The 25,677-nt window shown below is 41.3% G+C and overlaps 1 protein-coding gene across 5 annotated transcripts in view; it reads right to left on the minus strand.

Moving 5' to 3' along the window:
• The window catches only part of ULK2 (unc-51 like autophagy activating kinase 2), a 97,107-nt gene that overhangs the window by 39,097 nt on the left and 32,333 nt on the right, over window positions 1-25,677 (minus strand). For all 5 annotated transcript variants that reach the window (XM_047437147.1, NM_001142610.2, NM_014683.4 and 2 more), the window contains exons 11-14: window positions 16,213-16,260; window positions 15,168-15,256; window positions 6,823-6,994; window positions 452-512 (exon numbers count right to left, since the gene is read on the minus strand). In XM_047437147.1, the coding sequence (XP_047293103.1) occupies window positions 452-512; window positions 6,823-6,994; window positions 15,168-15,256; window positions 16,213-16,260 (370 nt within the window). The remainder of the gene's footprint in view (window positions 1-451; window positions 513-6,822; window positions 6,995-15,167; window positions 15,257-16,212; window positions 16,261-25,677) is intronic.

Raw genomic sequence — 25,677 nt, forward strand, 5'->3', positions numbered from 1 at the left:
AATTTCAAGAAAAGAAATAATGAGGCAGGGTGCGGTGGCTCACGCCTATAATCCCAGCACTCTGGGAGGCCAAGGCGGGCGGATCATGAGATCAGGAGATCGAGACCATCCCGGCTAACCCAGTGAAACCTTGTCTCTATTAAAAATACAAAAAATTAGCCAGGCATGGTGGCCGGCACCTATAGTCCCAGCTACTCGGGAGGCTGAGGCAGGAGAATGGCGTGAACCCAGAGGCAGAGCTTGCAGTGAGCTGAGATCACACCATTGCAATCTAGTCTGGGTGACAGAGCCAGACTCCATCTCAAAAAAAAAAAAAAAAAAAAAAAAAAAACCAGAAATAATGGACTGTAAAACAAAATAAATCTTAAATCAAGAACACTAAGTTCTATAACCTTACTCACAAAAATAAAATATAAAACAAATTTTAATAAGATAATGTAAATATACATACCCTCCACACACCAAGAATTCATTTGAAGCACGTCTGCCAGCAGTCCCCACTGGCATATCACCTAAAGGAGAGAAAAGAACAATCAGTTCCTGTTATACCATCTGCTTAAAAAAACACAAATTTGTTCCAAAATGATTATTAGGATTTCATGCACGATGCAAAATTACCATTGGCTTATGTTATGATTTCATGTATAAGAAATAATAGATGACCTCAGAAAACTACACCTAGCTGAAGACATAGGCTGCAACTCTTTGGATGCCCACTTCTATAAGCAAATTTGAGGTCTTCTTCAAAATAAAATGCCATATTTATTGCAGTGTTTACATATTTCTTCCCCATTAAACATGCAAAAACTGTGCTGTTTTTATCAGGTTCCTTTTTCTGTGTCAATGACAAAAGTTCTGAGAGTTGTGCCCTTTAATACTATTTGCACATAACTTTATTGCAAAATTTTGCAAAGAACATGTATATAACATAATAGAAGAACTGACCATATAACAAACTCTAGTTCCGTAAAATGTCGGATTACCCCATCCTCCTGCATAACACTCTCTCAGGTCTTGCATGAGTTGTTGAACAAGATGTCATGGAAGGCCAGGTGTGGTAGCTCATGCCTGGAATCCCATCATTTAGGGAGGCAGAGGCGGGAGAATAGCTTGAGCCCAGGAGTTTGAGACCTGCCTGGGCAACATAGCAAGATCCCATTCTCAAAAAAAAAACATAATAATGTCAGGTAGCAATAAGCATTATAAAGGAAAATAAATCAGGGTAAGGGAAAAAAGAGTAGCAGGGCAAAGGGGAAGTCCATTTTTATTTAAAGACAATGAATATTTGTCTATAGGAGAATTGAGAAAACAGGGAGAAGAGGCAGGGATAAAATCTAGATTTTACTAAGTGTACTTCCTTTCGTAGCTTTGAGTTTGAAACCATACATAATTTTCAAACGAAATTAAATCAAAAGAAAATAAAATCCCTAAAAATCAAAAGTAAAGGAACCTAATCATGTATCAACCTGATAGCTTAATCACGAGAGGGAAATTATTTCAAGTAACTTTTTTTTTTTTAATTTATGTATTTTTGAGACAGAGTCTCACTCTGTCGCCCAGGCTGAAGTGCAGCAGCATGATCTCGGCTCACTGCAACCTCTGCCTCTAAGGTTCAAGCAATTCTCCTGCCTCAGCCTCCCAAGTAGCTGGGATTACAGGTGTGTGCCACCACACCCAGCTAATTTTTGTATTTTTAGTAGAGACAGGGTTTCCCCATGTTGGCCAGGCTGGTCTCGAACTCCTGACCTCAAGTGATCTGCCCACCTCGGCCTCCCAAAGTGCTGAGATTACAGACATGAGCCACTGAACCTGGCCTCAAGTTAACTTTGAAACTCAATAATTTGATTGCATATACCCAATGGGATTATCCTAAGGACAAAAAAGATCTTAAATGGCTTTCAATGACCACATTTTAAAAAATTTTAAGTCAGATAGGACCAATAAATAATCATATTTTAAGTAATATTCATAGAGTTCTTTTGATACCATGTTGTAATTTTGAAACTATAGAGGCAACGGGACAGAAAAGAGAAGAGCCTAAACTCACAAGGACAAAAAGAACAGAAAAGTTCACAGCCACCAAAATTTGGAAGGTATAAAGTTGATGGACGAGTAGTATTTGACTTAGTTGACCCAAGAAGATAGAACCTTAGCCAGCTGGAAAGCCCAGAAGTAAACCAATTTACATCACAGAACTCCAAAATGCTTAGTAATCAGCAGTACCACATACCTTTCAGAGTAGCACTGAAGGTAGGACTAAAAGCAGGATTGATTGAAAGTCTATTTAGAAGCCGTTAGAATACAGTTCATCATAGTGTATCGTATTCAGGATTTTTGGTAAGTGAATAGATTACAGCTGCTCATGGAGGGAGGGGTGAGTAACTGTGAGTTGATGAATACATTAATTTATTTCACCGTAGTAACCATTTTACTATATATAGATGCCCCTCAACCTAAGATGGTGTCACTTCTGAATAAACCCATTGTAGGCTGAAATTGTCCTGGGTCAAAATGCTTTTAATACACCTAACCTACCGAATATCATGGCTAAGCCCAGCTACCTTAAACATACTCAGAATACTTACACTGGCCTACAATTGGGCACACAAAGCCTATTTTATGAAGTGTTGAATATCTCCAGCATCAGCTGTTTACTCTGGTGATCGCAGGCTGACTAGGAGCTGCAGCTCGCTGCTGCCACCCAGCATCACAAGAGAGTTCTGTACTGCATATTGCTAATACAGAAAAAGATCAAAATTCAAAATTTGAGGGATGGTTTCTACTGAATGCATATCATTCTCCCACCATCATAAAGTCAAAAAATTGTAAGCCAGTGACTATTTGTATATCTCATAATATCATGCTGCATACCTTAAATATACATAATACAACGTATTTTTTTATATAGAATTCTTTTTAAAAGAAGCAGTTAGAATTTTATATCCTTTCCCCAACCTTATGCAGGTAGGCAATGCCCATCTCCCACTATAGCAAAAAACTGTACATTCATACTTGGGACAGAGTAAAACAGAGGGTCTCTGAACTGCAGAACAGCAGGAAAAATTAAAAGCAAGGGTACTACACTGATAAAAAGATTAGTGGAAAAGAGTTATTAAACGAAATTTTACACTGACTATTGAGAACTCCATACTTCTTCCCCCATTTTGCTACTCCAGATAATATCAGGTTTATACTCTTCAGGCAAAAGATTGGATGAGTCTTTTGGGGGATCTGAGTAGCCCTCCAAAAGGGAAATAGTCCCAAGAATTGCCCCCGCCATATCATTCATCAAAGAGGCTTGCTTGCTGTCAATGAGACACTCCCACATACAGAGCTCTCAAACAACTTTCAAATTCTCCATCATCAAGAAGCATACAATATACTGCATGTTGAAATAAGAACAATACTCAGAGAAAAAGAACTTCTGAAAATTTAAAACATGAGAGCATAAAAGAAAAACTCACTAAAAGGGTAAGAAGAAACATTAATAAATTAGAGCAATAAGACAAAAAGATGGAAAATATGACCAAAAAAAGATAAAAATCAGCAGGGCACTCAGGTACTTGTTATGTTATATATTACTTTTAAACTGTATAACTGTTTTAAACATCTTGTATGTATGATACATTTCACAATAGCACATTTTTAATCATTAAAAAGAAGGGCATGATCAACTGTAACAAATGTGGATATATCAGGACAATGAGGACTGAGAACTGACCCCTAGGATTTGGCAGCACAAAGATCTTGACAGGAGCAGTTTTGAAACATTTACACCAGCACACACAAGAAAAAAGATAACTAGAAGAAAACAAAAGATGTGAATGCTCTTTATATAGAAAAGTATAAAAATGTATCAAAACACATTAAAGAAACCTAAATAAGTGGAGAAATACACATTCATAATTAGGTGACTTAATATTGTAAAGAACCTGCCTGTCCTTGAATAGGTCATACTATACAGTCAATGCAATTCCCATCAAAATCCCAAAATGGTTTTCATAAACTTATTGAGCTGAAATTAAACTATATGTGGGGGGAAAGGGCCAAGAATAGCCAGAGTGATTCTGAAGAATACTGAAATGCTCTCTGCCTCTCCTTCCCTCCCTGACCACACACACATACTGACACAAATTTAAAAATTCTTATAATATAGACAAAAAAAGAAACCCCATCTTGTATTTCAAGCTGACATGACAAATGTGACACTGCGTATCAGTGGAGAAAAGACAAATATTTAATAAATAGGACATGTGACTGATTTCTACCTTGCTCCATCTACAAAAATGAGTTACAGGTAAAATTAAATGTGGAAAAAAAAATCTTTAGAAGAAAATATAGAACACCATTATAACACTAGGGCAGCATGACAGAGAATATTAGTACAAGTTGTTTGTACCAATATATTATAAAGTTGTAGATATCTAAGTTTTTAGTTAGAAGAAATTCTGGGACATGTACACAAGAATGTCTGTTATTATATACATATATATATATATATATATATATATATTTTTTTTTTTTTTTTTTTTTTTTTGGAGACAGGGTCTTGCTCTGTTGCCCAGGCTGGAGTGCAGTGGCACAATCATGGCTCACTGCAGCCTCAAACTCCCAAGCTGAGACTACAGGTATGCACCACCATACCCAGCTACTTTTTCTATTTTTGGTAAAGGTGGGGTCTTGCCATGATGCCCTGGCTGGTCTTGAACTTGGGGGTTCATGCGATCCTCCCACTTCAGCCCCCAGAGAAGCTCTGACTACAGGTGTGCACCACCACGTCTGGCTAACCTTTTAGTTTCTGTAGAGAAAGAATCTCACTATGTTGCCCAGACTGGTTTCAAATTTCTGGGTACAAGCAATCCTTCCTCCTCAGCCTCCCAAACTACTGGGATTACAGGTTGTGAACCACAATGCCTGGCTCATTACATTTTGGACAGTGAAAAGGTAGAAGTAACCCAACTATAAATCAGTAGGGAAATGGATAAACTGTGTTTTAGTTATATTATACAATTCAGGTATTGGAATGAATTTTGAATTTTAGAACATTCACATTATACTGAGCATTCCAAATGCAAAAATCTAAAATCTGAAATGCTTCAGTGAGCATTTCCATTGGGCATCATGCTGGCACTCTAAAAGTTTCAGATTTGGGGGCATTTCAGATTTTCTAATTTGGCAGGCTCAACCTGTAACTATAAAAACACAAAAACCCTGTGTTAAGTATGGATACAATTGTATGCAGAAATATGAAATCTACAGGAAGAATATACCCCTAGCAAGAGCAGAAAGAGAAAAGGCACTTTAGCTGTACTTAACAGCATTTTTTTTTGTTTGTTTTTTTGTTTGTTTTTTGAGACAGAGTCACTCTCTGTCACCCAGGCTGGAGTACAATGGCACGATCTCAGCTCACTGCAACCTCCCCCTCCCAGGGACCCCAGTGCTCCTGGAGGGGGTTCAACGATTCTCCAGCCTCAGCCTCCCGAGTAGCTGGGATTACAGGTGCGCGCCACCATACCTGGCTAATTTTTGTATTTTTAGTAGAGACGGGGTTTCACCATGTTGGTCAGGCTGGTCTCAAACTCCTGACCTCATGATCTGCCCACCTCGGCCTCCCAAAGTGGTGGGATTACAGGCGTAAGCCACTGCGCCCAGCAACTTATGGCATTATATATATTTTAAAAACACATCTAAGACAAATATGGCAAAATATTGACCTATATAAAAGTAACACAGCCTAGTGGGTACCTTGAGTATCTGCTCTACTATTTTGTTTAAAATGTTTCATGATTTTAAAAGTTTTAATTACTTTTGGTAAATAAATAAAACCACTTGACTAGTTAATGGGTGCAGCACACCAACATGGCACATGTATACATTTGTAACAAACCTGCACGTTGTGCACATGTACCCTAAAACCTAAAATAATAACAAAATTTAAAAAAAAGAAAAAAGAAAAAAAAGAAAACCACTGTACTAGATTACTTTTAAAGGTAACTCTCAGTTCTCATAATGCTGGTTATAAACTGCCATGGCACTGCTGCTGTGGTCCATGTTTTCCCTTCCACACCCAGCTAATACTTAATTACATTCAGTTTAGGGATTATGGTCTTCACAACTAGCACAGTGCCTAGAATGAGCATCTACTAAATAAGCACTAGACGAACAACTAAAAAGACCTGATACAAACTGCTGCACATAATCAGCACTTGATATTATTCAATTATTAAAGTAATCAAATCTCTAGCTTTTCTGATACTATTCCTTCATGATCAAACCATGGCTCCTTCTTTTTAATAGTTTTACCTAATATCTCTTTTTTGTAGGTTTTCTGGTACCCTTCACTATTCCAAAGTACACTGGCTCTATTTAGTCACTTGGCTTCTAGTTCCTTTATGAAAATTCTTCCCATATATTTATGAAGTTCATTCCTTAACTTACATAAGTATTTTCTGAAGGACGTTCAGATTGTTTATAACACTCTTTTGACTCAGGTTTTTTCCCCAAATGAGTTGTTCCTTTCTTTCCTTAGTTTCACTCATTCTGCTGGTTTCTCTATTTCTTTCTGTTTGGATACAAACAGAATTTGAGATCATTTCCTATAAAGTTTTCATGTACCTTCAGAATCCAAAATTATTGTTTAATAGAAGATGATTGAGCAAATTTTAAAAAGGTAGGAATATAATTCTGAGAATTCAAACAACTAAATAAAATGCTCATTTGAAAAGGTGCCCTACACAAGAAAGTGTAATATATGGGTTAAAAAAAAGATGCTAGTTTAGTAGATTAAGAAATACAATGTGTACAAGTAGAAAAGATTCTCACATGAGTGGTCTGACGAGATGTTGTGTGGCACCAAAACAAAGTCATCCGTGTCACAAGAAGAGTTCTTGCTACTAGTACTGGCAGAATCTTTGGAAACTTGTAGATAGTTGGGAGGACCCAATGGTGGGGAAGATAAGTTTTCTTCCTGAATATGCTGCATATCTGGAAGGGACTAAAATTAACAACATAAAATTAAAACTGGTCTAATAATCAAATGCAAGTCAGAATAGTGACTAGACTAAGGAATTTTTTTTTTTCCCCCACAAAAGTGGGCATGAAGTCCAATTCCATCTAAGGTTTCAAAAAAATCTCTTTGGAAAAGCTTTCCTTTAGAAAACCTTTCTTTTAAAAGTGTTTGCATAAAGACTTCTGAAATGTTTTCCAAAAATGATACTTAAAAATATATCGTACCACTTATCCGCATGTACTTGCCTCCCTCTCCTGAAGTTTTTGAGAAAGTAAATTTTTATCATCACAACATCCCCCGGTTCTAGCTCATGGCCTAACAAAGCAGATACTTAATAACTTTCCACTTAATGACTAAACACAAAATGTCCAGAGACTTTAAATTAACGACATCTTACACACACACGTTTTAAATATATAATGAAGAAAAATTATAAGCAGGAAACCAAGAGACCACATTATGTAAAAAAATAGACAAATCAGGAAGGGTGCCTGCACTTAAGACCAGAAATGTATTTATAGATTTGGAAAACCTTACAGGTATCCTTGTGTTCCTCTTGTTTTTGTTTTATCAGGGGTAGTAGTTGATTTGTTAGTAGGAGATAGGATAGGAAGGGAAGAAAAGCATGTAAATATATTTAAACAAATACTTAAGAGCTAACTAGCTACGTATCTTTTGTCGTTTATCTAGTGCAAGGACCCTAGTTGACAACTCATTGAATATCTTGATTATACAATGGTTTTCTACAACAATGAACTTCATAGCTTATTGTGTCAAGCCCCTATTAACCTGTTTCATCTTTGCCTTTATTTAAGGAACGGAAAAATACTATATTATGCTCTTTAAACCCAAGCCTTAAATACCTGGTTCACTGCTGCTGCTCCTTTGAATGTCACTGTGCCATGGTATCGGTCACTGATACCACTTATTTTCATGTGTGTGACATGCACTTGACACAATCTCTCCTTATCACTTTTTGAAGAGACTTTGTATCTCAAGGTAATGAAGGGAAGGGAAGATGGAAGAACTAGCACTACTGAGCCTCAACCATGCGCTAGGCACTGTTAAAAGAGCTTTCCGGCAGGGTGTGAATCACGGCTCACACCTGTAATTCCAGCACTTTGGGCCTGTAATTCCAGCACTTTGGGAGGCCGAGGCGGGCAGATCACGAGGTCAGGAGATCGAGACCATCCTGGCTAACATGGTGAAACCCCGTCTCTACTAAAAAATACAAAAAATTAGCCGGGCATGACGGCGGGCGCCTGTAGTCCCAGCTACTCGGGGGGTTGAGGCAGGAGAATGGTGTAAACCCGGTAGGCGGAGCTTGCAGTGAGCCAAGACTGCGCCACTGCACTCCAGCCTGGGCGACAGAGTGAGACTCCGTCTCAAAAAAAAAAAAAAAAAGAGCTTTCCATGTTATCTAACTTTAGCCCATTCACATATAAATAAAGTTCAGACAGGTAATTTGCCCTAGATCACACAATTAAAAAGTAGTCAAGCTGAGATGTGATTCTAACTCCACAATATCTTTCCAGTGGTTTAGGCAGGAACTTTCCCAGTTTCTTCTCCTGCTATTTACAAAATTACCTGCATCTACAATCACCCTGGTCATTCTTTCTCGTAACAGTGGAAGAGATGCTTCTCTTCCATGGGCGCTCCTCTCTCCACCTGTGCTCTGCATTCCATGCTCCTCTATGTCCCCAGTGGCCTAGAACAACTCCCCTCGGCTCCTGACATTTTCATCCTCTCCTTTTGTTATGGCATTTTTTCCCTCTGTAGATAACCATGTTTAACTTTCTCACATCTCAAATCCCTAAAACCCTCTCAAATTATCATCTCTTCTTCATTTCTTTTCTTTTTTCTTTTTTTTTTTTTTTTTTTTTGAGATGGAGTCTCACTGTGTCACCCAGGCTGGAGTACAGTGGCATGATCTTGGCTCACTGCAACCTCTGCCACCCAGGTTCAAGCGATTCTCCTGCCTCAGCCTCTCGAGTAGCTGGGATTGCAGGCATCTGCCACCATGCCTGGCTAATTTTTGTAGTTTTAGTAGAGACGGGGTTTCACCATCTTGGCCAGGCTGGCCTTGAACTCCTGACCTCATGATCCACCCGCCTCAGCCTCCCAAAGTGCTGGGATTACAGGCATGAGCCTATAAACAACATATCTTGAAATTATCATCTTCACTGACTCAAATGTGTCACATCCTATATATCCCTTAATTCAACATAACCCACTCTGTCTTCAACCCTTGAATAAAAATGCCTTTACTAAGATTATCAATAATTTCTATTGTCAAGTCCAGCAAGTATTTCCCGTACTCCTTAAGGTACTTGAACTTTTTGCTCCATCTGTACTGTGGACCATTCTTCTCAACACTCTGCCCCTTCATTCAGTGACCCTGCAATCTCTTGTTTTTCCTACTTCTTGGGGACTCCTTCTGAGTCTCTTTTGTGAGTACATACTTCTCATTTGCCCCTCAAAAAGGAGGAGAAGGAGAAGAGTAGAGAGTTCCCCATGAGCCACCCTGGGCTCTTCACGCTTCACTTGTTGTACTTACCCGAGTGACCATGCTCACTGTCCCTCCTACCTTTAACTACCACTCACAGAATGATGGTTCCTACTTTTTGATCTTCAGCCAAAATTCTCTCTGATGAGCTCTAGATCCCTTTGTTCACTTGCCTATACAACACATTCATGCCTGTACGTTAACTCATCACCTTTATATTCCAAAGCACTGCTCCCCAAGTTCCCTCAGAGTGACCTTGCCAGCCGGCCATTGTCACCAGCAAGGTCTCACTCTTCCTCAGGTTCCAAGTTCAAGCAATCTTCAAGATCTGTGCGCTCTTTGCCTTTCTCTTACCTGGCTCTTCTCCTTCCTTACTGCCGCCTTAGTTCAGGCTTCGTTCTCAAAACAGTAATGACGACAACAACAATGATGATAAAATAAAAGGTGCAAGGGTCTCAAGGTGTCCTCTCTCCTCTAGTGGAGACCTCTGTATTTCCTCTCTCACTCCAACCTAGTCCTCCACCCTGCTTTTGGGAGAATCTAGCTAAAAAACACAGTGGATCATATCACTCACTCTAAAATCATTCCAATGGCTCACTGCAACTTTATTTATTTTTTTTTTTTTTGAGATGGAGTCTCGCTCTATCACCAGGCTGGAGTGCAGTGGCGTGATCTCGGCTCACTGCAACCTCCGCCTCCCGGGTTCAAGCGATTCTCCTGCTGCAGCCTCCCGAGTAGCTGGAACTACAGGCGCGCCCCACCACGCCCAGCTAATTTTTGTATTTTTAGTAGAAATAGGGTTTCACCATGTTGGCCAGGATGGTCTCAGTCTCTTGACCTTGTGATCCACCCGCCTAGGCCTCCCAAAGTGCTGGGATTACAGGCGTGAGCCACCGTGTCCGGCCTAGCTCACTACAACTTTTAAGAATGCAGCTGAAATTCCTTTGCTTGACCTCCAAATACTGTCAGGCCTCTGTCTACCTCTCTAGCTTTCTTTTCCCTTCACCCATCACCAATGCTCTCTGCATCCACCAAACTGAACTACTGAGTGCAGCCTTGTTCTTTCTGCAATGATGGAAAAGGCCTATATTTGAGCTATCCACTATGGGAGCTACCAGCTAGCTAAGGCTACTAAGCACTTGAAATGTGGCTGGTGTGAATAAGAAAATGAATTTTAAAATTCACTTAATTTTAACAAATTTAAATGTAAATGGCCATGGAGAGCTAGAGTTCCTTCAGTGGCTCACGCTTCTATGACTTCATGTACGGAAATTCTTCTGCTTACAATATCATTCTTTCACTAATTCTTGCAATCTTTCTTCAAAACTCAGCTCAAACAATCCCCTCTTTTTAGCAGCCTTCCTAAATCCTTAATCTAATTTTGATGTTCCCCAATCACACTCCCATAGGCAATGAAGATACATATACATATGCTTCTGGCAATGACTGAGTTACCTACCTCTTCTCCATACAATTAAATTAAAACCTCCTTAATGTCAGGGACCTGGTCATCTCATTCATTAGTATAAACCAGAACATCACACAAAGTAGGTATTCGATAAATGTTATAAAACGAATAAATAGGCCAGGCGAGGAGGCTCACACCTATAATCCTAGCACTTTGGGAGGCTAAGGCAGGTGGATAACCTGAGATCAGGAGTTCGAGACCAGCCTGGCCAACATGGCGAAACCCCATCTCTACTAAAAATACAAAAATTACCCAGAAGTGGTGGCACATGCCTGTAATCCCAGCTACTCGGGAGGCTGAGGCAGGAGAATCACTTGAACGCGGGAGGCAGAGGTTGCAGTGAGCCGAGATCGCGCCACTGCACTCCAGCCTGGGTGACAGAGTGAGACTCTGTCTCAAAAAAATCACTAAATAAATAAATATTCAAGATTTACCATCTAAATAGCATTTAATCTCTAGTCAGTATCATAATTAAAAGAGTGATTTGGAGTTTTTTTATTGTTTGTAATTTTTTGTTTTGGGGGGGGCCTAGAATTTTTCTGGAATAAAATAGCAGCTAGATATTTACATGAGAATGTAAAAACGACAACGTTATATCACATGCCTGTGTATCTCAAGCCTCTGTATGAGTCTACACCAGTCCTAGAAAGAAGGGGAAGCATGTATGAAATCATCTTATTTTTGGCAGATGATGTTAAATGTAAGGTCTATCAAACCATACCATTTTCTAATCCCACTAACTGGAAACTATATACAAATGTTCGTACTTTCCTTTTTTCCCCTGCTTTCCACTTTATTTCCATTTTTTTTAAAGGCTTCCTAAAATGATGTTTATTGGTTGGTTGGTTTTTGAGACAGGGTCTCTCTGTATCCAGGCTGAAGTGCAGTGGAGCAATCATAGCTCACTGTAACCTCGAAGTCAGGGGCTCAAGCACCCAGCTAATTTTTAATTTTTTTGTAGAGACGGGATTTCACCATGTTGCCCAAGTTGGTCTCAAACTCCTGGGCTCAAGCAATCCTCCCACCTTGGCCTTCCAAAGTGCTGGGATTACAGGCGTGAGCAAGCACACCCAGCTGACCTTATCTTTTTTTTTTTTTTCTTTGAGAGAAAGTCACAAAGTCTTGCTCTGCAGTGGCACAATCTCAGCTCACTGCAATCTCCACCTGCTGGGTTCAAGTGATTCTCCCACCTCAGCCTCCCAAGTAGCTGGGATTACAGGCGCACGCCACCACACCTGGCTAATTTTTGTATTTTTAGTAGAGACAGGTTTTCACCATGTTGGCCAGGCAGGTCTCAAACTCCTAATCTCAAGCGATCCACCCACCTTGGTCTCCCAAGGTGCTGGATTACAGGCGTGAGCCACTGAGCCTGGCCCAACCTTACTTTTTAAAGAACTCTAATGAATAAGACATAAAAAGGATATGTTTATGCCAGTGACTTATTTTATTTTTTATTTTATTTTTTTTTTTGAGATAGAGTCTCGCTCTGTTACCTACGCTGGAGTGCAGTGGCATGATCTTGGCTCACTGCAGCCTCTGCCTCCTGGGTTCAAGTGATTCTACTGCCTCAGCCTCCTGAGTATCTGGGATTACAGGTGCACGCCGCCACGCCCAGCCAATTTTTGTTATTTGAAAAAACACCAAGACAGGGTTTTGGCATGTTGGCCAGGCTGGTCTCAAACTCCTGACCTCAAGTGGTCCACCCGCCTCAGACTTCCAAAGTGCTGGGATTATAGGCATGAACCACCACACCCGGCCCGTTTACTGTTTTTTGTTTGGTTTGTTTTTTTTTATTGAGATGGAGTCTCGCTCTGTCGCTCAGGCTGGAGTGCAGTTGAGCGATCTTAGCTCACTGCAACCTCCGCCTCCCGGGTTCAAGCGATTCTCCTGCCTCAGCCTCTCGAGTAGGTGGGACTACAGGCGCGTGCCACCATGCCCAGCTAATTTTTTGTATTTTCAGTAGAGATGGGGTTTCACCGTGTTAGCCAGGACGGTCTTGATATCCCGGTCTCATGATCTGGCCACCTCAGCCTCCCAAAGTGCTAGGATTACAGGCGTGAGTCACCACACCCAGCCGGATTTTTTTTTTTTTTTTTAATAGAGGCAGGTTCTTACTATGTTGCCCAGTCTGGCCTTGAACTCCTGGGATCAAGCAATCCTCCCATTTCAGCCTCCCTTACAGCTGAGTCTACAGTCATGCCCAGGCACGCCTGGCTATTTTTTTTTTTTTTTTTTTAGTAGAGATGGGTGGTCTTGATATGTTGCCCACGCTGGTCTTGAACTCCTGGAATCAAACAATATTCCTGCCTCAGAAAAAATAGGTTTGTCCACCAGAGTTTTTAACATCTAAAAAAGACTTTCTCTTTCTCCTGCCTCTCTTCACTCCTCCAGTTAGTTCTACATTCAGCTACTCCTTGGCAGCCCTAGCCTGGCTCCTATTTTGTCCTCCTCTTTCAACCAACAAAAACCCCAAAATGCTCTCTCCAGTCAAAGAAAATTTCCAGTTCAACGTCCTCCCTACTGGCCTCTCTCATCCCTCAGTCACACTATCACCCCACAGGCTCCTTTATGTTTGCTCTCCCAAAATTAGATTCTTCCCTGTTGTTCTTTCCTCTAGCACAAGCTTTGCTTTTCATATTACATTGTGTCAAATATATGGTTCATAATAATAGCCACAATTTATTGAGACTTTGCCATGGCTAGGCACTTCCCACATCTTACTACCAGGACCCTGCAAGCAAAGGTTAAACAAGCCTATGGTCCAGATGAGGACACCATGGCCCACCTCTCTAACTGACCGGCCCAAAGTCACTGAGTGGGCAAGCAGCAGGGCTAGGATTGGTGCCAGCGTGTCTGGCTCTTAATTTTTTTAGTTCACCAGAACATAACATAAGTCTTATTAACATAATCTGCTTTATCTATTTGGTATGAATTTGCGGGGCTGTGTAAGAAAGGTTTGCTGCCAGTTTTGAGACTTGTCTGTTTGCAACAGGCTACATCTGCATCTGCTTTACCTAACAGTTGCCACCCCTTGCGTTATATACTATGTGTCAGACCCTGCATGCAATAAGTGCTTACACTCACTTATCCCTGAAGAACCCTACGAGGTAGGTAAATTACACTTACTTGACATACAAAAAAAAGGTGTCCTATATGACAGGTAAGGTACATGGAGGCTGCAAGCCCCATCCACTTAAACCTCTGAGTTGTCTCACTTTTATGGCTCCCCTATCTTTCTGCCAGCGGCATTCAAGAAATTGATGTCTGGGGCAGGGTGCCGTGGCTCACACTTTGGGAGGCCAAGGCGGGCAGATCACTTGAGTTCAGGAGTTTCAGACCAGCCTGGCCAACATAGTGAAACCCCGTCTCTACAAAAGATACAAAAAATTAGCTGGGTGTGGTGGTGTGCGCCTACAGTCCCAGCTACTTGGGAGGCTGAGGCTGGGAGAATCGCTTAAACCCAGGAGGCGGAGGTTGCAGTGAGCCAAGATGGAGCCACTAAACTCCAGCCTGGGCGACAGAGCGAAACTCCATCTCAAAAAAAAAAAAAAAAAAAAAAAAAAAAGCCTAAGAGAAGAGTGGAGTAGGAAGAAGTGACTAGAGTGACCAGAAGGCCTCAGGATTAGGAAGAAGTACTGAGATGGGAGGGAACACAGCCATGAAGAAAATGCCTTGGGAGCTTCAGGGAAAGGAAGAGGTTTGAGTAGAAGCCACCTTAAAGCGCCAGAAATCATGATTAAGAGAATCTAAGTCAGTGAAATCTGGCTCAGAGGTGACTCCTCCCTCAGTAGAAATTCCACATACAAAAAAAATCCAAGCTCATGTCTACGGCATTCAGATCAAATAAATATTTATTGCCTATCCACCTGTAATGGGTACTCTGTTTGCAAGTATCATCACCAAAACACCATAGGGTATAAGAAGGTGATAGTGCTATACTCACTGTTCAGAGGAAAATGGCCCAGAGAGGTGACATTTCTTTCTGGAGCTTACACAGTAACATATGGACAGAGGCCCGAATGCAGGTCCATTTGACCCAACTATCATGTTCTTTCCCCCAAATCTCAGCTACATTAGTAAACATTACACATAAAAAGAATATCCACAGTGTATGTGCATGCTCCATTTGAGAAAAGATGTAATAGCACTAACTCTGAAATTATTTTTAATAAACTGTAACTTACTGGTGGAGAAGCAAAACGACAAGATGGAGAGCTGCCACAGGAGCTTCCAGAGACAGAACCAGAATACATGGGCACTGGAACTGGGCAAGCTAGGGGAAGAAACACAAATGAACTACATCATTTTGTAGTGCAGTCACATGACCTGTATAACAGAAACACTTGCCAAAACTACTACACCTTTGTGTTCCCCCAAAATCTGCATTTACCTATTTATTACCACATCTGCTGATGAAACTAAAAATGCAGCAATTACTAAAACTATTTCAACTTCGTTTCAGAAGGAAAAATAGAACAGTTATTAAATAAACACAACCGTAGGTATCTAAGAAAATCAGGCTGGGAGCAGAGGCTCACTCCTATAATCCCAACACTTTGGGAGGCTGAGGCAGGAGGATCACTTGAGGTCAGGAGTTTGAGACCAGCCTGACCAACATGGTGAAACCTCGTCTCTACTAAAAATACAAAAATTAGCCAGGTGTGGTAGTGCCCGCCTGTAATCCCAGCTACTCCAGAGGCTGAGGCAGGAGAATCACTTGAAACCAGGAAGCAGAGGTTGTACCACTGCACTCCAGCCTGAGTGACAGAGCAAGACTCCGTTTAAAAAAAAAAGTAGCTGGGTGTGGTGGCTCACACCTGTAATTCCAGCACTTTGTGGGGCTGAGGCGGGTGGATCACCTGAGGTCCGGAGTTCGAGACCAGCCTGACCAACATGGAGAAACCCCATCTCTACTAAAAATACAAAATTAGCCGGGCATGGTGGCGCATGCCTGTAATCCCAGCTACTCCAGAGGCTGAGGCAGGAGAATGGCTTGAACCCGGGAGGTGGAGGTTGCTGTGAGCCGAGATCACGCCACTGCACTCCAGCCTGGGCAACAAGAGCGAAACTCCATCTCAAAAAAAAAAAAAAAAAATAAATAAATAAATAAATAAATTCAATGAAATTTTAGGAGTCACAATAAAAGATGAATTTTGTAGTAAAAATCATTAATTTTTCCTAAAGCTTGCATTCATTCTTTAAGTGAAAATACAAAAAATGGATACTCACATTTTTTTACTGGACCTTGCTCAAGAAAAGGATGGCTAAAAAATGCTTCTGTAACAAGAAATGAGAATGCAACCTTTAAAGAGACATTGACTAAACTATCAACCAGGTTATTTTTTCTCAACGTATTCAATATAATGTCTTTGAGATCAGAATTTAACTTCTTTATATAGGCTCCATTTCCTTTAAATGTAAAAGCGTATTTTTTATAAATCCTCTATAAAATAATTATTTTTATAATCATATAAAATAATGAATCAATAACAAATTTTAAATAATTACGAATTCTCAAAACATCTATCACCAGCACAACATACTCTGATGCTACTTACACAGACATGTTCTCTAACGTATGCCACCCTCCAGTGGACAGCCCCACAGGAGAACTGTGATCACCAGGCCCTTGTTAAGCACCCATGTGAACTACAGCTGTTAATTGTCCTAAGAGGAAATTGATACAGCTGATTTATACAACAAACTATCCTTCGCCCCTACAAGTATTCCTGATGCTGGTTTCACATTAAAAAGAGAAAAAACTGGCCGGGTGTGGTGGCTCACGCCCGTAAGCCCAGCACTTTGGGAGGCCGAGGCAGGCAGATCACCTAAGGTCAGGAGATTGAGACCATCCTGGCTAACACGGTGAAACCCTGTCTCTACTAAAGATACAAAAAATTAGCTGGGCATGGCGGCCGGCGCCTGTAGTCCCAGCTACTCGGGAGGCTGAGGCAGGAGAATGGCGTGAACCCGGGAGGCGGAGCTTGCAGTGAGCCGAGATCGCGCCACTGCACTCCAGCCTGGGTGACAGAGCGAGACTCCGTCTCAAAAAAAAAAAAAAAGAAACTACAAAAACAATACATTCAATAATTTTAAAACCATTCTCCATAATAGTTGTTTCACTATTGACCATAATTCTCATGGTTCAGAGCAACTCTCAGCTTAACTTCTCCCTAATAGGTATAAATATTTCCAACTACATGAACTTAATTTTAGTCCAACTTTACAAAACATTAAGAAAATAGGTATTCAGACCATTTCATCTTTTCCCCGACATGGAAACAATTACAGCTATCCTCTACTGAGTATTCAACATTCACTAAGACAATGAACTGGGTGCTTCACAAACCTTATCTGAGGAAGTATGTCCTCCTATGATGGGTAATAAAATTAAAAGCACACAAAGGCCATGTTTCTTGTCCAATGTCAAAGAGTTAGTAAGGTGAGGGACTAGAATTCAAATTCTAGTCCAACTTATTTAAATACCAATGTGGGTTTCCCTATTATACTATACATTAGCAAACCAAAATCCTGGAGTATATTTCCACAAATCTCTGTTAGTATTACAACTATTACTACAGGAAAAGTCAAACACTTTTTTCCCTAAAAACTACAAGATCAGGGTTAATTTGCTAAGTATTTTCATTAAACATGTCTTAATGATTTCTCTGGTCTGACATTTTCAAGTAGCTGTTTTTACCTAAGATAAGAATTAGGTTGGACCGGGCGTGGTGGCTCACGCCTATAATCCCAGCACTTTGGGAGGCAGAGGTAGGTAGATCACCTGAGGTCAGGAGTTTGAGACCAGCCTGACCAACATGGAGAAACCCCGTCTCTACTAAAAATACAAAATTAACAGGCATGGTGGCACATGCCTGTAATCCCAGCTACTCAGGAGGCTGAGGCAGGGGAATCGCTTGAACCCGGAAGGTGGAGGTTGCGGTGAGCCGAGAACCTGCCATTGCGCTCCAGCCTAGGCACCAAGGGCGAAACTCTGTCTCAAAAAAAAAAAAAAAGCAACTTCCAAAAACTTTAAGATAAACTGATGAGACCCACACAGAGTTACAGAATCAAACTTTCAAAAGACAGAGAGAATCTTGGAAGCAAGAGAGAAGCAACTTGTAATATACAGGGATCCTTAATAAGAATATCAGCCAATTTCCCATCAAAAATCTTGAGGCCAGAAGGCAGTGGGATATTATCTAAAGTGCTGAAAGAAAAAAAAGTTAACTGAGAATTCTACATTCCACAAAACTGTCCTTCAAAACTCAGGAAGAAATTAAGATATCCCCAGAAAAACAAAAGCTGAGGGAATTCATTACCACAAGACCTCCCCTATAAGAAATGCTAAAGAGAGTACTTCAGGTTGAAATGAAAAGAGCTAGACAGTAAAAAGCCACATGAAGACATGAAGATCTCCGGAAAAGATAAATGCACTGGCAATTTAAAATCCAATAGTACTGTAATTTTGGTTTGTAACTTCACTTTTTCACTTTCTACAGAGTTTAAAAGACAAATGCATTAAAATTATCATAAAGATATAATTTGTGATATCAACATAAAGGGGGTATAAAGCAATACAGAAGTAGAGTTTTTGTGTGCAACTAAAGTTAATATGAATTCAGTAACTTTAGATGTTATATGTAATCCGCAGGTAACCACAAGGAAAAATATACACAGAAGGAAATGAGAAAGGAATCAAAACACATTACTATAAAAAACAACACTAAAGAGAGCAGTAATGGGAGAAATGTGGGACAAAAAAGCTGTAAGACATAAAAATAGTAAAATGGTGAAAATCTTTCCTCATCAGTAATTACTTTAAATGTAAATAGATCTCCTTAGGCAGAGACTGGCAAAGTAGATTAAAAGGAAATAATCCAACTATAATCTGTAAACAGAACAGAGACTCCCTTTAGGCCATGTGAGGTGGCTCACGCCTCTAATCCCAGGCAGATCTCTTAAGCTCAGGAATTCAAGACCAGCCTGGGCAACATGGTGAAACCAAAAATACAAAAAAATTAGCTAGGCATGGTGCTGCACATCTGTGGTCCCAGCTGAAGTGAGAGGATCGCCTGAACTCGGGACACAGAGGTTGCAGTGAGCTGAGATTGTGCCACTGCACTCCAGCCTGGGTGAAAGTGTAAGACTCCATCTCAAAAAGAAAAGAAAAAAGAAAAAGAGACTCGCTTTAAATCTAAAGACACAAATATTTGAAAGCAAAATAATGGAAAAAGCTATTCCCAGGCAAATACTAAGCAAAAGAGAAGGGCAAAGTTGACTATCAGACAAAATAGAATTTGAATTGAAAACTGTTATAAAAGACAAAAAGTACGTTAAATAAGGCCAAGTACACTGGCTTAAGCCTGTAATCCTAGCACTTGGGAGGCCCAAGGTGGGTGGATCGTTTGAGTTCAAGAGTTCTAGATCAGCCTGGAAAAAATGGTGAAACCCTGTCTCCACAAAAAATACAAAAATTAGCCAGGTGTGGTAGCTTTGCACCTGTAGTCCCAGCTACTTGAGGGGCAGAGGTGAGAGGATCACTTGAGCCCAGGAGGCAGAGGTTTCAGTGAGCCAAGACTGCACCACCGCACTCCAGACTAGGTGACAGGATGAGACCCTGTCAAGGAAAAAAAAAAGGGGGGGGGCTGGGCACGGTAGCTCACGCCTGTAATCCCAGCACTTTAGGAGGCTGAGGAGGGTGGATCACAAGGTCAGGAGTTTGAGACCAGCCTGACCAACATGGTGAAATCCTGTCTCTACTAAAAATATAAAAATTAGCTGGGCATGGTGGCAGGCACCTGTAGTCCCAGCTACTTGGGAGGCTGAGGCAGGAGAATCGCTTGAACCTAGGAGGCGGAGGTTGTTGCAGTAAACCGAGATCGCGCCACTGCACTCCAGCCTGGGTGACAGAGCGAGACTCCATTTCAAAAAAAAAAAAAAAAAAGGTATTAAATAATGATAGAAGGGTCAATTAACCAAGAAAATTTAAGATTTATAAACAATCAGAGCCCCAAAATACATGAAGCAAACATTGACAACTGAAGTGAGAAAGAGATTTGTACAATAATAGTTGGAGACTTCAATATCCCACCTTCAGTAATGGATAGGATAACCAGATACAGCATCAATAAGGAAAGGGAGGCACTGAACAGTGCTATAAACTAACTGGACCTAACAGACACACGCAGAGTACTCTAGTCTCTGAGAGCAGAGCATATATTTTTCTCAAGTACACATGGGACATTCTCCAAAACAGACCACACCTTAGGCCACAAAACAAGTCTTAATAATTTTTTTTTTTAATCAGAGACAATGTTGCGCTCTGTTTTTTCAGGCTGGAATGCAGTGGTGCAATTAGCTCATTGCAGCATCAAACTCCTGGGCTGAAGTAATCCCTCTTACCTCAGACTCCCAAGAAGCTGGAACTAAAGGTGCATACCACTACACCCAGCTAATTTTTAATATTTTTTGTAGAGACAGGTTCTCACTATGTTGCCCTGGCTAATCTCAAACTCCTGGCCTCATGCAGTCTTCCTTCCTCAGCCTCTCAAAGCACTAAGGTTACAGATATGAGCCACCATGCCTGGCCCATAAATTTTAAAAGATTGTAATCACGGTGACTGATTATCTTTTCCAATCACAATGGAATAAAAGTGGAAATCAAGGGCCGGGCGCAGTGGTTCATGCCTGTCCTTTGAGATTGTTTAAAAAAAAAAAAAAAAAAAACTAGAAATCAGTAACAGAGGAAATAACGGGAAAATCCACAATATGTGGAAATTAAACAAAACACTCTTGTGTTACTCTGTTTTCGCACACTATAAAGAACTACTTGAGGCTGGGCGCAGTGGCTCATGCCTATAATCCCAGCACTTTGGGAGCCCCAGGCAGCCTGATCGCTTGAGAACAGAAGTTCAAGACCAGCTGGCCAACATGGTGAAACCCCATCTCTACTAAAAATACAAAAATTAGCCATGCGTGGTGGCACGCAGCTGTAATTCCCGCTACTCAGGAGCCTGAGACAGGAGAATCGCTTGAACCCCGGAAGTGGAGGTTACAGTGAGCCACGATTGCTCCACTGCACTCCAGCCTGGGTGACAGAGCAAGACTCCGTCGCTAAAAAAAAAAAAAAAACTACCTGAGACTGGCCATTTTATGAAGAAAAGAGGTTTAATTTAGTTCTCCATGGCTGGGGAGGTTTCAAAAAACTTACAATCATGGCAGAAGGTGAAGGGGAAGCAAGCATGTCTTACCATTGCAGAGCAGGAAGGGGATGTACCACACTTTCAAACCATCAGATCTTGTGAGAACTCACTATCACGAGAACAGCATAGAGGAAATCCGCCCCCATGATTCACTCACCTCCCACCAAGCCCCTCCCCATTCACTCACCTCCCACCAAGCCCTTCCCCGTCTCATCTCATTCAAGATGAGATCTGGGTGGGACACAGAGCCAAAGGATACCAACTCTTAAGCAACCATGAGTCAAAGAAGTCATAAAGGCAAATTAGAAAATATCTTGAGACAAATGAAAATGAAAACACAACATACTAAAACTTATGGGATGTAGCAAAAGCAGTAGTAAGAGGGAAAAATATACCTGTAAACACCTCCTTTAAAAAAGAAGAAATAAGGCCAGGTGCCGTGCCCCACGCCTATAATCCCAACACTTTGGGAGGCCAAGGCAGGCAGATTACTTGAGGTTGGGGGTTCAAGACCAGCCTGGCCAACATGGTGAAGCCCCGTCTCTACTAAAAACACAAACAAATTAGCCGGGCGTGGTGGTGGGCACCTGTAATCCCAGCTGCTCAGGAGGCTGAGGCAGAAGAATCGCTTTAGCCCAGGAGGCAGGGGTTGTAGTGAGTCAAGACTGTGCCACTGCACTCCAGCCTGGGCGACAGAGCAAGACTCTGTCTCAAAAAAAAGAAGAAATAGGCCAGGCATGGTGGCTCACACTTGTAATCCCAGTATTTTGGGAGGCCAAGGCAAGTGGATCACCTGAGATCAGGAGTTTAAGACCAGCCTGGCCAACATGATGAAACCCTGTCTCTACTAAAAATACAAAATAGCCAGGTGTGGTGACTTGAGCCTGTAGTCCCAGCTACTCTGGAGGCTGAAGCAGGAGTATCGCCTGAACCCAGGAGCTGGATGGAGGTTGCAGTGAGCCAAGATGACGCCACTGCACTCCAGCGTTGGTGACAGAGCAAAACTCCATCTCAAAAAAAAAAAGAAAAAGAAACATCTAATCAATAAGCTAACTTCATGCTTATGGAACTAGAAAAACAGCAAACTAAGCCCAAAACTAGTAGAAGGAAAGAAATAATAAAGATTGGAGTCAAGATAAATGAAACATTTTCTTTTTTTTTTTTTTTCTTTTTATACAGGGTCTCATTCTGTCACCCAGGCTGGGTGCAGTGGCATGACCACAGCTCACTGTAGCCTTGACCTCCAGGGCTCAAGCAATCCTCCCAGCTCAGCCTCCTGAGTGGCTGGGACTACAGGCCCACACCACAACACCAGCTAATTTTTGTATTTTTAGTAGAAGGCTTTCACCACGTTGCCCAGGCTGGTCTCAAACACCTGAGTTTAACTGATCTGCCCATCTCGGCCTCCCAAAGCGCTGGGATTACAGATGTGAGCCACCATGCCCAGCTGTGCTTGAACTTTTAGTGCATTCCCCAAGCCACACACAGATCTATGGACAAAGGATGGTAACTTACCATCTCAAAGCACCACCTTTGACCAATAACTGGCTGACCACTAAAAAACTGTAGACAAAGGGGTGACCCCTAGGAAACTGGGCTTTACAATTTTTTTAACTGAAAAAAATACAAAAACAATTTTGGAGATAAATCAATGTTCAAAAACTGCAAGGAAAACAATATTCCGCAGATTTCGTCCACGCAAGTTACTAAACAAATAGAACAATCCGACCAGGCATCGTGGCTCATGCCTGTAATCCTAGCACTTTGGGAGGCCGAGGCAGGTGGATCACTTAAGGTCAGGAGTTCGTGACTAGCCTGGCCAACGTGGTGAAACCCTGTCTCTACTAAAAATACAAAAATTCACCAGGCGTAGTGGTGTGCACCTGTAATCCCAGCTACTCGGGAGGCTGAGGCAGGAGAATTGTTTGAACTCGGGCGGCGGAGCTTGCAGTGAGCTGAGATCATGCCATTGCACTCCAGCCTGGGCGACACAGTAAGACTTTGTCTCAAAGGAAAAAAAAAAAAAAAAAAAAAAACAGAACAACCCCCAATTGGGAGAGGGGGAGGGTTCAAATCTAAAGTTGCTATCTGTATTGAACAAAATGTTTGATTTTTGACAAAAAACCGCAAGGCATGCAAAGCAACAAAGAAGTATGGCCCATACACAGGGGAACGAAGCAGTCAATAGAAACTGTCGTGAGGGGGCCAAATGTTGAACTTAACAAAGACTTTAAAGCAGTTATTATAAACAAATTTTTTTTTTTTGAGACAGAGTCTCGCTCTGTCGCCCATTTTTAAAAGTAGAGAAAGCCAGCCAGGCACAGTGGCTCACGCTTGTAATCCCAGCACTTTAGGAGGCCGAGGTGGGTGGATCACGTGAGCCCAGGAGTTCAAGACCAGCCTGGCCCACATGGTGAAACCCCGACTCTATTAAAAACACAAAAAATTAGCTGGGCATGGTGGTGGGCGCCTGTAGTCCCAGCTATGCAGGAGGCTGAGGCAGGAGACAGCGACTCATCAAATAGAGAATATCAAGAAAAAGACAGAAATTATAAAAAAGAACCAAACAGAAAATCTGGAGTTAAAAAGTACAATAACTGAATAAAACAATCAGCAAGGCTGAGAACAGATTAACAGATATTTCCAATCTGAAAAACTCAAAGGAAAAAACAATATGGAAAAATGAACAGACTCAGCTGTGCGACATCATCAAGCATAGACCATTAAGTGCACACAATGGGAGTCTCAGAGAAGAGAAAGAGAAAGGGACAGAATGAATATTTTAAGAAATGATGGTTGACAACTCCCCAAATTTGGTGAAAAACATTTATTTATATATCCAAAAAGATCAATAAACTCCAGGCAGGATAAACACAGAGATACACATCTAGACACATCACAGTTAAAATTGTTGAAAATCAAAGACAGAGAAAAATCTCAAAAGCACTAAGAGAAAAATGACTCATCACCTACTAGGGAAACCTAGTAAGATTAACAGGTGACTTCTCATCAGAAACAATGGAGGAGGCCAGAAAGCAGTAAGATGACATAGTCAAAGTACTGGCTGGAGAAAATCCTAACAACCAAGAATTCAGTATCTACCAAAAAAAAAAACACTTTTCCAAAGTGAAGGGAAATAAAGGGAAATAATGACATTCCCAGATAAATGAAGATTCTGAGAATTTGTATAAAGAGCATTGGTAATTATGTAGATAATTATGGAAGACAGTACATTATATATTTTTCTCTTAGCCGATTTAAAGGACAACTGTATAAAATAATTATAAAATTGTACTATTGGGCTTTGTAACATACAAAGATTAATATATATGACAACACAAAAGAGGAGGAAAGGAATGGAATTATATTAGAACTAAAAAAATGACACCAAACAAAAAAGAGATACAAAAAATACAAAAAGAAAAAAAAAATGACACCAAACAGTAACTTGAGTCCGTAAGAATAAATGAAGAGTGTCAGAAATGATAAATGTATAGGCTAAAATAGTAATCTAAGGCTGGGCATGATGGCTGACACCTATAATTCCAGCACTCTGGGAGGCCGAGGCAGGATGTGCGCTTGAACCCAGGAGTTGGCAACCAGCCTGGGCAACATGGCAAAAACCTCTCTACAAAAAATTTAAAAATTAGCTGGGCATGGTGGTGTGCACTTGTAATCCCAACTATACAGAAGTTTCAGGCAAGAGGATCACTTGAGCCCAGGAGGTCAAGGCTGCAGTGAGGCTTGTTTTTACCACCGTACTTAGGCCTGGGTGCAGAGTGAGACTCTGTCTCAGAAAAAAAAAAAAAAGAGAAACACACAAAAAGACGCTATACATGTTTTTCACCTTTCTTCTCCTCACTTCTTAAAAAGAGGTAAGACTGTATAAAGCAATCGTCCTAACACCCCACTGCTGAGATTACAACATAGACATAATATGTAAGACAACAGCACAAAGGGAAGAGCGAATGGAGCCATATTAAGGGAACAAAGCTTCTACATTTTAATGGAATTCAACTGGTTTTTTGGTTTTTGTTTCTTTTTTTTTTGGAGATGGAGTCTCGCTCTGTCACCCAGGCTGGAGGAGTGTAGTGGCGCGATCTTGGCTCACTGCAAGCTCCGCCTCCCAGGTTCACACCATTCTCCTGCCTCAGCCTCTCGAGTAGCTGGGACTACAGGATGGTCTTGGTCTCCTGACCTCGTGATCTGCCCACTTCAGCCTCCCAAAGTGCTGGGCTTAACAGGCATGAGCCACCACACCCGGCCTCAACTAGTTTTTATATAAAGTAGACTGTGATAAATTAAGATGCATACTGTAGAGGCCGGGCGCGGTGGCTCACGCCTGTAATCCCAGCACTTTGGGAGGCCGAGGTGGGCGGATCACGAGGTCAGGAGATCGAAACCATCCTGGCTAACACGGTGAAACCCCGTCTCTACTAAAAATACAAAAAAATTAGCCAGGCGTGGTGGCAGGCACCTGTAGCCCCAG

The sequence above is a fragment of the Homo sapiens genome, chromosome 17, assembly GCF_000001405.40.
Source record: "Homo sapiens chromosome 17, GRCh38.p14 Primary Assembly".
Lineage (NCBI taxonomy): Eukaryota > Metazoa > Chordata > Mammalia > Primates > Hominidae > Homo > Homo sapiens.